Source organism: Homo sapiens, chromosome 3, assembly GCF_000001405.40.
Source record: "Homo sapiens chromosome 3, GRCh38.p14 Primary Assembly".
In the NCBI taxonomy this organism is placed as follows: domain Eukaryota; kingdom Metazoa; phylum Chordata; class Mammalia; order Primates; family Hominidae; genus Homo; species Homo sapiens.
This window is the reverse complement of record NC_000003.12, coordinates 121,840,204-121,855,252: the sequence shown is the minus strand read 5'-3', so window position 1 is coordinate 121,855,252 and position 15,049 is coordinate 121,840,204. Positions and strand designations below refer to the sequence as shown.

Below are 15,049 nucleotides of genomic sequence, written 5' to 3'. Positions count from 1 at the left end.
AATAGTCTGTTTATCTGAATAAAATGCAGAAGTTTTGAGGTGTTTGCAGAGCAAACTTTCCTTTTTCTAGTACCTTACACATCCTAGGTACTCAATAAATTTTTACTAATGAAGATGAAATTATTTTAGAGAATGTATAATGGCTTCCTTCAATCCAGTTATACAGAAGTATCTACAATAGGATAAAAAGTGTACCTATACCTATAGAAAGCATTTAGAAGCAAAACAAGCTTTTATATATCACAGGGTAATGTGGTAAAACGCTTTTTGCTTAGGATCTCCACCAAATTTAAACTTAGAAAAAGATTAAAACATTTTTGTACCACACAGAAATAACTCCTATATTATAATGTGACTTAATAAATTTTTTATTGACATTTCCTTAGAAATTTATGTTTATAATATAATTTATTTCATTAAACCACATACCTTGTTTTTTTTACAGTGATGTTGCTGCTGAGTTTTTCTAGCCGACATTCTCCAGTATCATGGTTAATAATCAAAATGCATTCTTTTAAGTAAGGTTTTTTTGAACCTTTGAAAACAGTTACTGGTGGAGTTGAACCCTGTTTAAAAAGTTAATTATTATTACTTAAAATTTATCATAGGAATTCACTTGGGAAGGCCTTTGAAATCTTGATTCTGGGTTTCTCCTTCTATGTTATACTTCAAGTCACCCATAAACTACCTAAATTTACTACCCTGAATCCAAAGAGTGTAGTAAAAAAGACAGATGAAGATAGGCTGAAATCTCAAAGCTGCTGTCATTGAGGAAAGGGAAGACAGGAGGTACTCACCTTGGGACAGTAAAGATTTGTTTCTTTGGCCTATAATGAGTAATTGAGATTCAATTCGAACACAACCAATATATTTTATGGATAAGGAAACAGAGCCTTGAATCATATTTTCTATTCCTCCTTTTTTTTTTTTTTTTTTTGAGACAGAGTCTTGCTCTGTTGCCCGGGCTGGAGTGCAGTGGCACGATCTCGGCTCACTGCAACCTCCACCTCCTGGATTCAAGTGATTCTCCTGCCTCAGCCTCCAGAGCAGTTGGGACTATAGGCATGGACAACCACGCCCAGCTAATTTTTATATTTTTAGTAGAGACGGGGTTTCACCATGTTGGTCAGGCTGGTCTCGAACTCCTGACCTCAAGTGATCCACCCATCTCAGTCTCCCAAAGTGCTGTGATTACAGGCAGAAGCCACTGTGCCCAGCCTCCTCATCTTCTTTCTTATTGCTTTATAAGTTTAATTTTTAAAATCTGGCATTTTCTTAAAGCAGTACCTCCCTATGCATATTAAGGAACACCTCTTACACTAAACCCACTAATTAAATTTAGCATAATTAAAAGTAAGATAAGCAGACATTATGTGCTTAATGATGTCATATGAAAGTACACTGCGCCATCCATAAAATACTCTTGCCAAAAACCACACAAAAACCCCAAAGAATTTAATTCTTATCAAACCCCAAAGAATCTGTAATCCAGCCTGCCCTTAGATATATAACTACCAATATATAGAAAATAGAAGGAATAGAGGAACAAGTTAAATACATCCAGATAGAAGTAATTTGAAGTCCAGAATGTAGGTATATTCTCTAGGACAGATAGTACGGTTTTTCCAACAAACCAATGGCATAAAAAAGAGAAGAGAGCCAGGTGCAGGCACTGTAGTACCAGCTACTTGTGGAGGATGGGTGCTGAAGCAGGAGGACAGCTTGAAGCCAGGAGTTCTAGGCTTCAGTGTGACATAATCACACCCGTGAATAGCCACTGCACTCCAACCTGGGCAACACAGTGAGACCCTGTCTCTAAAAAAGATAAATTAAAAAAGGGGTGGAGAAGAAAGGAAGGGACTTTTAAAGAATAAAAGAGACAAGAAATACAATATTCAAATACAATGTAGAAATCTTATTTGGATTCTAGTTAGGACATTTTACAGACAAATGTCTGTAAAAAACACGTTTTTGAGATCATCACAAAATTGTGACTATGGACGAAGTATTATCAATTATGTTATTTGTGATAATAGCATGGTGCTTAGATAGAAATGTCCTTATCAGTTAGAGATACATAAGTAAGCATTGATGAAATGGCACATTGTCTGGGATTTGCTATAAAATATGCCAAGGAAAAAAATGGTAAGACATTAGATTAAAAAATAAAAAGATTAGCAAAATGTTGATAATTGTTAAAGCTCAGTGATGGGTACATGTAATTCATTATACAATTCTGTTGGCAATAAAAGAAACCTAGATCATTACTAATAAACTACATCTACTTACATGCTCCTCCCCTATCTTTTGTCCCTGCTCCATCAAACCTGAAGGAATTTTACGTTTGTCATTCTTTTGCTTTATCCCACATATATGTATTTCTAAACAATTATTTGTGTATGTTTGTCTTTGGAGTTTATAAAAGTACATTAAATTTTAATGGATTTATCATAATAATTTTATCAAATATTACAAAAATAATAAAATAGTACTGTTAGATCAGGTTAGAAAAGGATGACCTCTAAAAAGGCTAAGTGGTGTATCATATTAAAGTTAATCATTAGAGATTTACTAAATGAGCACTAGGAGGAGTATAAGATAAATTAGGTAATTGAAAATGCCATAAAAGATGGGTAGGTTAGAGATTTCTGAAGGTATGGAGGGAAAATTATAAATGTAAAATAAAGGAACAGTTGTTTGTGGGTTTTTTACCTCTCCCAAAGACTAAAGTAATCTACAGAAAATCAAGAATGCACAACACGTAGATGAAGACATGTCTGGGCTAGCTCTAAAACGGTTAGATGTGGAGCACTTAGTTGAAGCCCTGGTAAGCTGGAGAGTCAGGAGCATGATTATAACCAAACAAAGTGGGTCTACTTGGCTGGTAAGTAAATTTTTCAGATGTGTTGACTGAAACAAGTAAGATACCCCAAAATAGTTACCTAAGGACTCCAAATTACAGTTGATAAGAGATTTGTGCAAGATATTCTTAATGATATCTGTACTCTTAATTAGAATGGAATACATCTAAAAATTACAATGTATTATTGTTCTCTGAGCTCCTGAAAATAAGAACTAATCATTAATTTTTAAAAAATTGCTCTCAGCACCTGAAGAAGTATCAAGACCTTTATAAATATTCAATGAAGGTTAAATATGAATAATATAGACAATTTCTGGTCATAAGTAACAAATGAAACAAATCTTTCATAATCTCTACACCTGCCATCTACATTTTGAACAAGTTTTATAAATGTAAACTTTCTCCCTCATTAAATTGAACACCATTCCTAACTTTTAAGCTTCAGTTTCTGTCCATTCCTTATTCAATACCCCAAGAAAGGCAACTACTAAAGTACCAGACAACTACTAAGCATATGAACTATCATTGCCTCTAAATAACTATTGAATACCACCTATCGGCTCCATGTTCACTGTGATGACACACCTTCAATCGTCATTCACCTAGATTATTGTTATTCTCCTCCCTACTCTCTTTCCAATTTTGTTCCCCATTCTGTGAGCAGGCAAATCTAATCGTATTGTTCCCTTGCTTAAAAATCTTTCTGTGCTTAAAAAACTGTGTATTCAGATAAAGCCATATTCCATAAACCTGCACATGGACCCTCCATGATCTTCTCATCTACTCTCCAACTTTCTTAATTTGCCACTGTTTACAAACCACATAGAATTGCTTATAATTGGTTCACATGAATGACTGACTTAGGATTGTCAACCAAAAGACAAAACTGTAAAATAAAATATAAAATAAGTGAGTGGGTCATGTGTGGTGACTCATGCATGTAATCCCACCATTTTAGATGGCTAAGGATCACTTGAGCCCAGGAGTTTCCGACCAGCATGGGCAACATGGGGACAACCTGTGTCCACAAAAAAAAAACTAAAAATTAGCTGGGCATGGTGGTGCACATTTGTAGTCCTAGCTGCTTGGAAGGCTGAGGCAGGAGGATTGCTTGAGCCCAGGAGTTGGAGGCTGCAGTGGGCTATAATTGTGCCACTGCACTCCAGCCTGAGTGGCAGAATGAAATCTTGTCTCTAAAAAATAAATAAAATAAGTGCGTGCATATGTTATTTGAGGGAATAAAAGGACTCTTAACCATACAACAAAGGAATCAGAACCAACACCTCAACATAGGGGAATGAAGAGAAAATATAAATATAAATAAAAGAAGTGATAAAAGAAATCTGGCTATTTATATATACTTAACTTTAAATGGATAAGAATAGACTTGGCCGGGCACGGTGGCTCACGCTTGCAATCCCAGCACTTTGGGAGGCCAAGGGAGGTGGATCATCTGAGGTCGGGAGTTTGAGACCAGCCTGGTCAACATAGTGAACCCCCAACTCTACTAAAAATGCAAAAAATTAGCTGGGCATGGTGGCGGGCACTGCCTGTAATCCCAGCTACTTGGGAAGCTGAGGCAGGAGAATTGCTCGAACCCAGGAGATGCAGGTTGCAGTGAGCCAAGATTGCGCCACTGCACTCCAGCCTGGGTGACAGAGTGAGACTCCGTCTCAAAAAATAATAAAAAAAAGAATAAGAATAGACTGTCTGAGAATGTATAATGTAAGAGCTAAATAAGTATTCTTGACATGAAGATATTCTATAATGTAACACAATATCTTGGCAAAAACTTAGGTGCTTGGCTGAGGTGGAAAGAAAGAGAAGTGGAAGGGAGGAGAAAAAAAGTCTTATTATTAAGGGATAATAAATGTATTCTAAAAATCTCACTTGATAGAGGTAGGAAAATAATGGAGGAACTCAGTTTTCATATAAGAAAATAAAATCATATGCCTCATTATGAACACCAGGAAAAGAAAATAATCAATAATGGAATGGAAAAGTATACTAGTACTCCCAAAGTAATAAGAGTAATCAAAAAAAGCAATGAAAAAAAAATCAAAGACAAAGGGAAAAAAAGAAATGGTTGGTAAAACTAATAAAGAATATAAAAGAAGAAACAACAAATATTTAAAAACTAATAAACTATAAGATAAAAATCAAGTATATCAATTTTGAACTAAATGTGAATAGACTGAATAGACAGTATTCTCCCAATAAAAATAGAAAGTGCCAAACTGGGTTTAAAAATAAAACAGCATACTATATTAACAAAAGATATACTTCATACAAAATGTCAGCTAAATAAAAGGAAGAAACACTAAGATTCTATGAATACACAAAAGAAAAAAAGTAAAGATAGCTATATAAATATCAGCTAAATAAAAGGAAGAGACACTAAGATTCTGTGAACACACAAAAGAAAAAAAGGTTGATATATATATATATACATACATATATATATATATCAGAGAAGTAGGCACTTAAGCTTAAAAACACAAAAATAGGACAAAAATGTTATTTTGTAATAATTAAAGATATACTTCATTAAAAAATATAACTTTAAAACAATGTTAAAATAGGACTCTGGTCCTAAAATCAGATGAGGTCCCAAGAATGTAATGGACTATGTTCCTGTGTCGGCTAAGTAAACCCATTGGAGAAAACCAGACTAGGTTCATTTGGGAAGGGACTTTGCCCAAGAGGGTCATCTGGAGTACCCCTCATACATATAGGAGCCTCATAAGTGTAGGATTTGAGGGTTGAATTATACATAACCACTAGAAATGCATTGCCTGAATAATAGAAGGATAGTTAGAAGTTTGCAGTGGGCTATTTCATAAAAGCCCACAGAAGCACCCCATAAGATAAAGAGTCAATGCCAAAAATATGCCAATCTCAGCACCAATGACAAGTCTTAACAGTCAAGTTAAGTAAAACTTTTTCTTTCAAAATTCGACACTTTGAAATTTTGTAGCAATCATGGAGAACTGTTTGTAAGGAAGAGAGATTCGTAAATGCCCACTATTTAACCAGACTATCAGTGTTCGTTTTTATTAATTTTTTTCTATTTGGTAATACCATAGAAACCTAAGACAAATGGAATTAGAAAATCTACCCTATCAAAGAACCAAACGTACTCTTAAAATTATAATATAATAAAAGCTCTATTTTATGGTCTGACTCTAAGCTTCCTAGGCAGTTATACCAGGATGACGAAAGCAAGTTCATATAAACAATAGAAGAATCTAAATGCCTCAAACTAATAACCATTACATTTCCACAAAAAACCTACAGAATTAAGAACACTGAAGAAAAGCAAACCTCCTACCTGCTTAAAGATGTTCTTTAAGTGAAGGGGGAAACCCCTCACAAAGTCTATCTGAGAATGTAATTTCCATTGTTATTCATGATTGTTCAAGGACTACATACCCAGGAGAAACAATATTTGCTTTTGACAGATGGTGATCTAAATAACTCTTTCATTCTCTTTTTTTTGTGTGGGGGGGGGCTTTTAAAATAACCCTTATTTTTTAAAAGTTAATATGTGCACTATAGGAAACTGAAAAGCACAAGAAGCAAAGAACAAAGTCATTTACAATCACAAGCAGTTTATAGTTTGACATGTTCTTCTAGATCCTGTGTGTGTGTAGACACAACATCCAATTTTATGGGACTGCCATTGTACAGTATGTATCACGATTTTTCACACATCATGAATATTTACCAATTCAAAATCCCAAAGCTATATGAGTATTTTGATAACCAAGAATACACTACACCAACTCAAACTGCTAAAAAAAAAGTGATCCTGCCTTTCTTGGGACAAAAATTTCATAGAAGACAAAAATGGCAACACGCCTCTAGATAAAAGCATTGGCAGAGTTGCGATTTAAATGCTGCATTCCCTTAATGCTCAATTTAAAATGAAACACACAGCAGCAGAATACACTAAGTATAATGTTTTTAAGAGAATTCATTAGCAGATCTATACCATTAAAATATTAGCAAAGTATATTTCCATTGAATTACTTAATGTACTCCTATAGTGCAGCCAAAAGAGATGCATACATCAATGGCTATCAAAATGTAAATATGGACATATATGGACACATCTGCATACATCTCTGCCTGTATACTTCCTTCTGCCCCTCTGCTGCCAACCTAATGAACAAGTCCTGACATACACTGCTCAGAGGCGGCTTAACAATTCCATGTCCAAAATGCATCTTTTCTATCAATTATAACAAAGGTATTTACAAATTGGCTAATTCACTAGCTCTAGTTTTTATCATAAGTTGTCACCCTATTCATAAAGCTTAGATGTTGCAAAATAATGAACTTTGTCCACAATGAACACAGGCACTTTAGTAAAAACGCTCATATAGACCTGTGGTTATCATCTAAAACCATTGTCTAGATATGGAGATACTAGCAAAGAGCCCTTCCCTTCATCCTTCCTCTTCTCCCTCTTCTACCATCCCAGTGACTAAGTATAGGATGTCTAGCTCCAAGAGATGGACTAATAAAGGTCACCCCCAGAAGACAGGCCTTCCTAAAAACTAATAAAAGGACATTCATAAAGGGACTGATTTACTACATCTATTTTTAACATACTTTGAGCATTAAGACTTATCCTTTAATACACAATATTAACTAAAATGCACATATAAAACAATGGTTAGACCATCTGAACTAATCTCAGGAGCACAGAACCCTTCTCCTTGCATACTTCCTCCCCCCCTCTCCCCAACTCTTTCATTTTCACTGTTTAAATGAGTTATAATTAATTTATATTATATAATAGACCCTTTATCAATCTGATTCCTAAATATCTAAATATTACCCTCCTTGTCCTCATATGCACGCCTTTTGACCTAGCCTATATATATGCCTACATATGTAACTACATATATGCCACTAGGCATTATATGTAGTTCTTCAAATGTTTAACAAACTTTCTTTTGTTGTTGTATCTTAGTCCTTGTCTTTTTCTTTTCTCTGACTAAAATGTCCTTCCCTCTCTCCTTTATCTGGGTAACTTTAACTCATCTTCAAAACTCAGTGTGTCCTGATGTCTCCTCCCTGTACCCTGGCTGAGATACCTCTCTTTCCTGTTTCTTTAATATTCTATGTATATCTTTTTATAGTTCTTAGATTTCTACATTTTAATCAGTTATTTCCTGTCTCTCCCATTAAATGATAAAATGTTTCAGGACACTGACTGTGTCTAGTCTACTTCTGTATTCCCAGTGGCAGCTACCTAGAATAGGACTTATCACACAGAATGTCCATGCATATACACACACACAAATACTGAGGCATATTCTTTTTTGGACATATCTGTGGGGGCTTGTGGAAAGGAGCGGTGGTGGTGGTAGTGACTTTTTCCCAAATGATTTCTTTACAATTTCTGAAATTTACAATTCACAGGCTTGAAAACATAGGCCTCCTGTAACTGTGCTTCCTTTAAGACATATTTCAATTGAGACCATAACCAAACACCTGGAAGATGGTAACTCTTGGTTAAAGCAAGATATGAATGAATGACAAGGGTTTATTATTAAACATAAGAAACCTCATTTCTTTGGAGGAGAAGAGCAATGCAAGGGATGAGGATGGGAGGATGGCAACTTGAGAAAACAATATTCTACTTGGCAAAAAAAAAAATCCAACTAAAGTGATTCTGCAAACCAATCATTACTGATCAATAATACTGTATAGCCTGAGACAATAGACTAGTGGTTCCTGTTTGTTGTTGTTGTTGTTTGTTTGTTTTTTGAGACAGAGTTTCGCTCTTGTTGCCCAGGCTGGAGTGGAATGGCGCAATGGTTCCTGCTGTTAATGTGAGGCTTTAACCTCTTAAAATTCAGTGGTTGGTTCAGGTTTTTCTTTAATAAACATCATAAAGCAAAGAAGCCTTAGGTTACTGGAGATTAAATTTCCAAATTGTTTTAGAGATACTAGAACCTGAACAATTTTTCATAACAGAGTAATACAAAGATTAACTTATCTACAACATCTCATACTAAATAGATTTTTCATTTCCTTCAGTTCCAGAGAGAACAAATAGAAATATTCAATAAAAAGCCCATACAAATTTAATTAGCCTTAGGAAAATCTCCAGAGACGGTAACTGACACAGTCTGACATAATAGTGGGCTCTCAATAAATGGTTAACTGATAAAAAATAAGAAAAAGACAGCAGATGAGAGGATAGAGAGTTTACTTGCTATATGTATAACCACGGTAAACCATCTCATTAATGCATAAAGGAGAATGTGGACGGACTAGCACAAAACCACCCCATTACAAAAATTAAACAAAACAAAGAAAAAATCTCAAAAAATCCAGCATTTTCTTTATGTATTAAAGTATAAAGTTACAGTCTTGATTTTTTTCTGAGAATAGACAAAGTCAGTATAAAAGAAAAGAAAAAGAAACTTAAGCTGAATACTCAAAAATTTCTAACTCAAGGACTGAGAAAACTAGAGCATACAACAAAGAACTTATATTTGTATGCGAATAGTATTTGGTACCGTTACTTGGATACATCTGGAAATTTTTTTAATGGACAAAACTTTTGGTTAGGGCCTCCCCTGACAGTCTCTTTCTTTTTAAAACCACTCCTCAAACTCCAGCTGAAGTTCTTTCAAAAACACAATCTAATCATTAGAATTCTAATCATTGGACTTTCAGCCAGAGTTTGAGGAGTGGTTTTAAAAAGAAAGAGATTTTCTAATCTAAGAAATCTAAATCTAATCATGTTACCTCTCTGTATTAAAACTTCTAATGGTTTTTTAATACCTATGGGATAAAGTCCAAATTCTACATTACAACATAAAATATCCTTCACAATTTCATCTTGACCTACTTTTCTAGTCTCTGTTGCTATCAATCATTTTTCTTTTTCTTTTTCTTTCTTTCTTTTTTTTTTTTTTTTTTTTTTGAGATGTAGGAGTCTCGCTCTATCGCCCAGGCTGGAGTGCAGTGGCGTGATCTCGGCTCACTGCAACCTCTGCCTCTCAGGTTCCAGCGATTCTCCTGCCTGAACCTCCCAAATAGCTGGGACTACAGGTGCCCACTACCACGACTGGCTAATTTTTGTATTTTTAGTAGAGTCAGGGCTTCACCATGTTGGCCAAGCTGGCCTGGAACTCTTGACCTCGTGATCCACCTGCTTCGGCCTCCCAAAGCGCTGGGATTACAGGGGTGAGCCACCGCGCCCATCCCATTTTTCATTATACTATGATTTACTACGTAAAGTCACTTATTCCACAAACTCTTTGTTCTTTCGGCATCAGAGCTTTTCACATACTGTTCTGTTTGCTTATTCTACTCCTTGTCTACCCAATAAAATCTTACTTGTCCTTTAAAGGCTCAGCTGAAATATTGCTTGCTTTATGAAGCTTTTTAAGATTCCACCAGGCAGAGTATTTGCTTCTACTTATGTGGTTACATAGAATTTCATATATGCTCTAACTTATAACACTAGATGTTATGTGTCTGTCTGCTATAAAAGATTAGGACTAGAAGGCAAGGGATATGTTACTATCCTAAGGTCAGTGTTTAAAATCTGGCTTATAGTAGGAATTTAATAAATATTTGTTTAGACTCTAATTTTTTTTCAAATCATTTGCTATGATAGTTCTTGGAACTATTAAATGGACTAAAGTATTTTAAGTTTTTTTTGCCTAAAGTAGTTTAAAATATGGTTTTTGCTTATCTGTGCTTACTAATTACTTTAACCAATTATCACTACACAAATTGTGCAATTATTTTCATTTAAATTTACTGAGAATCCCACAAAAGTGATCACTTTAAAGATACAGAAATACTCACTTCTATATTTGGCAGAGTTATGGTCACCTGTTCACCTTCACCAACCTCAAGGTATCCTTCAGAAGAAGTGTCAATAGAAGCAGGTTTGAAGTCATCTAAAAATAGATACAAATACCAATTTTTGTAAAATGTAATGATATTTGGATATAAAAATTATGAGCATGTTTCAGAATGATAAATCATTTTTCAAGAGCTTTGTAATTAAAATGGTTTAAAGTATTCATATTACAAATGAACAAACAAAATACAATCTAGTTTATTTATTTCTGTATGCATAATTCTGAGAAAAAAGAAATAGCTATACTCTAAAACAGAATTACTGACACTCATGCTTCCATAGAATCCTGTTTAGACAAGATGAACCTGACTAACATGTTCTACTGCTAAAAACTAAATAATGTCAGTGTTTTCACAACTTGCTAAAAAACTGATATAGGTAGAATGTTTTCAATTTTCAGTCCTTTTTTCCAATAAATTTTTCTTTTTTATGTCATTTTTAATGGCTGCTGACTTAGTTCATGAATGTTGGCCCATAAATTTTTTTTAAAGCACCTTTGGTGCCTACTACCACTTGTCTGTCATTCTACTACCACTTGTCTGTCATTCTATCCAAACAAAATGAATGAATACATAGCAAATACAGTACATATTAATGAAGAAACTTAAGAAAAAGTAATCTTTCTAGTTTAACAGTTTTTTTCATGAATATGTACACCACTAAATGATGTATAATTTAACCAAATCTGTCACTTTAGAAGATCTTAAAATACAATTTAATTTTGAGTTAAATCATAGTTCAAACGATGCCATTAAAATCTATCATCTAGGAGGAAATTCAGGGTACTAAGATATTTCACATGTTAAACAAGCTTAAAACCCTCTAAGCAATTAAAGCCATTTAAAACTAATTCATACGAATATACATCAACAGCTAATAATTCTGATATATAGTTCCCTGTGTTATATATACATTAGCTCCTTATTAAAATATGGTATAATGCAAAAGAGAACAAAAATTAAGCTTTGACTTTTACACAGTGACACATGTAACCACCAACCAAATCAAGAAATAGAACATTACCAGCTCCACGGAGCCCCCTCCCAGTTATTACCCATTGTTCCAAAAGATTAATCTTCATATTAACAAAAAGGCCCCAAAGACAGAAAGTCTAAATCCAAAGTAATGGATATTTATAAGTGGAATTTAGGGAATTATAATTAGAAAACCTTGGGAAAGGAGAATTTTCCAATAATCATCAAATTATTGCTCTGTAAATAAACAAAGGCTGGCCCTGCTTCACGATGACAATTAAAATAGCTGACATTTATGGAACACTTACTACATGCCAGGCACCATGCTTAACACTTCATATTTACCTCTTATAACAACTCTGAAATAAATGAAATCCATTCCTCTATTCCTTAAATAAACATAAATGCAAATGAATATAAACAATTTACAGAAAGTATTTTTATAATATATTCTTCATGCTGCTTTAATTAAAAATTGAATAAGATCTTGATGCTTATTCCTAGATTTTAAGATACAGTTATAAAAATAACATAAGCAATATGAAAATGTGAAAGAGTTTTGATTTACAGTATATCCCTAGAAAGTATAACTGAAGAGTCAAAGGATAAAGATTAGACTGAAAATAAGTTGAGGAGTTTGTTAGCAGTGGCAAAGTGAGAAAAGTGAAAGGTATAATTAAGGTGTTAAGTTTTAGATGCTTGAAAAAGGGTTTGGACTGAGGGAAATAAGTTTTAAATAATGTCAATTGTTGAAAGGACAGTGCTATTGAGGAGAAAAAAATCAGAACTGAACTTGAGTAAGTATCACAGAGATAAAGTAGAAGAAGCCAGAAAATCTAAGAGAATGAACACAGATATGAACAAAAACAACAATAACAGCTATTACATGCTGATCAATTTTAAAAGTTTTTCCTGATGATTTTTACTTTGAAGCTTCACACCAATCCTGAAAAGTAGTGAATACCCCATCTTACAGATAAGGGAAGTGAGGGTGGAAAAAAATTAAGTTCCTTGCCCAAGATCATGCAACTGTTTTCTAAAGCTAGAAAAACGAACTGCAAAACCCAGTTAGAATAAAAAAGATGAAAGGTTGGCCAAGATATATCAATGTCAACAAAGAGAGAAAAAAACTTTAGTTTGGGCTATCAAATACCATTTATGAATCTAAAATAAGAACCAAAGTCATTTAATATGGATATATACAGTATAAATGAAGTAACTGCCTCATAAAATCTTTCACTATTTATAAATAAGTTATCGTCATGCCCTATGTGGGTGCCTATACTAGTGGACTTTGTTGATCCGCAACTTTATTAATTATTATTATTTTTTGAGACAGGGTCTCACTCTGTCCTGCATGCTGGAGTGCAGTGGCTAGATCTCGGCTCACTGCAACCTCTGCCTTCCGGGTTCGAGCGATTCTCCTGCCTCAATTTCCTGAGTAGCTGGGATTACAGGCACATGACACCACACCCGGAAATTTTTTTATTTTTTTATTTTTTTTTTATTTTTGAGACGGAGTCTCTCTGTCGCCTAGGCTGGAGTGCAGTGGTGCGATCTCAGCTCACTGCAACCTCCGCCTCCCGGGTTCAAGCGATTCTTCTGCCTCAGCCTCCTGAGTAGCTGAGATTACGGGCGTGCACCACCATATCCGGCTAATTTTTGTATTTTCAGTAGAGACGGTTTCACCATGTTGGTCAGGCTGGTCTCGAACTCCTGACCTCGTGATCCGCCCGCCTCGACTTCCCAAAGTGCTGGGATTACAGGCGTGAGCAACTGCGCCCGGCCTTATTTTTTATATTTTTAGTAAACACGGGGTTTCACCATGTTGGTCAGGCTGGTCTTGAATTCCTGGCCTCAAATGTTCCACCCGCCTCAGCCTCCCAAAATGCTGGGATTACAGGCATGAGCCACTGCGCCTGGCTGGTCCTCAACTATCTATTTCTTTCTATCTTTTTTCTTTCTTTCTTTCTTTTTTTTTTTTTTTTTTTTTTTTTTTTTTTTTTTTTTTGAGACAGGGTCTCCCTCTGCCGCCTAGGATGGAGTACAGTGGCGCGATTTCGGCTCACTGTAACGTACGCCTCCTGGGTTCAAGTGATTCTCCCGCCTCAGCCTCCTGAGTAGCTGAGATTACAAGCGTGCGCCACTACAGCCCGACTAATTTTTGTATTTTTAGTAGAGGCGGGGTTTCACCAAATTGGTCAGGCTGGTCTTGAACTCCCGACCTCAGGTGATACGCCCGCCTCCGCCTCCCAAAGTGCTGGGATTACAGGCGTGAGCCACCATGCCCGGTAGTCCTCAACTTTCTAATTGTAACTATCCTTCAAAGTTCTGCTCATCAATCTAAGGATTACTCTAAATATTCCTCTATGTCGTTCATCATTTACATCTAATTATTATATCTTCTTTAATATTTTTCAAAGCCATCCCCTTCCATTCTTGCTGTGGACAAGCTAGTTTTCAATCAGCTAAACTACTGGAACACCTTATGGTCTGCCCTTCTGCTTTTCTCTATCCTTTTGCTCTCTTAGAATTTGAATCCTATTTCAAAGTTCCCTCTTCTCTGAAGCTATTTCAGGGTGCAGTCCTTTCCGTACTACCCAGAATCTCAATTTCTTCTCCATTCCTGTAGCATTTACTAAACCATTAATCAAAACCTATCATAAACTACCTACCTGATATTATTTACCTTTTTTTTTTTTTTTTTTTTGAGACGGAGTCTCGCTCTGTCCCCCAGGCTGGAGTGCAGTGGCGAGATCTCGGCTCACTGCAACTTCCGCTCCTGGGTCCATGCCATTGTCCTGCCTCAGCCTCCCGAATGGCTGGGACCACAGGCGCCCGTCACCACTCCCGGCTAATATTTTTTGTACTTTTAGTAGAGACGGGGTTTCACCGTGTCAGCAAGGATGGTCTCGATCTCCTGACCTCATGATCTGCCTGCCTCGGCCTCCCAAAGTGCTGGGATTACAGGCGTGAGCCACCGCACCCGGCCCGTTTTTTTTTTTTCTTTTTTTTTTTTTTTTTTTTAGACGAAGTCTCCCTCTGTCACCAGGCTGGGGTGCAGTGGCGCGATCTTGGCCCACTACAATCTCCGCCTCCCTGGTTCAAGCGATTCTCCTGCCTCAGCCTCCTGAGTGGCTGGGATTACAGGCACGCGCCACCACAGGCCGCTAATTTTTGTATTTTTAGTAGAAACGGGCTTTCTCCATGTTGTTCAGGCTCGTCTGGAACTCCTGACCTCGTGATCCACCCGCCTCAGCCTCCGAAAGTGCTGGGATTACAGGCGTGAGCCACCGCGCCTGGCTTTTTTTT

General features: G+C 35.9%; 1 protein-coding gene across 7 annotated transcripts in view; it reads right to left on the bottom strand.

Moving 5' to 3' along the window:
- EAF2 (ELL associated factor 2) overlaps positions 1-15,049 on the bottom strand; it is a 51,318-nt gene that overhangs the window by 31,274 nt on the left and 4,995 nt on the right. For 5 of the 7 annotated variants that reach the window (XM_047448576.1, XM_017006861.2, XM_005247618.4 and 2 more), the window contains 2 exons: positions 10,706-10,800; positions 430-566 (listed from right to left, as the gene is read on the bottom strand). In XM_047448576.1, coding sequence (XP_047304532.1) covers positions 430-566; positions 10,706-10,800 — 232 coding nt within the window. The remainder of the gene's footprint in view (positions 1-429; positions 567-10,705; positions 10,801-15,049) is intronic. The other 2 variants (XM_047448577.1, NM_001320041.2) reach the window with 1 other exon arrangement.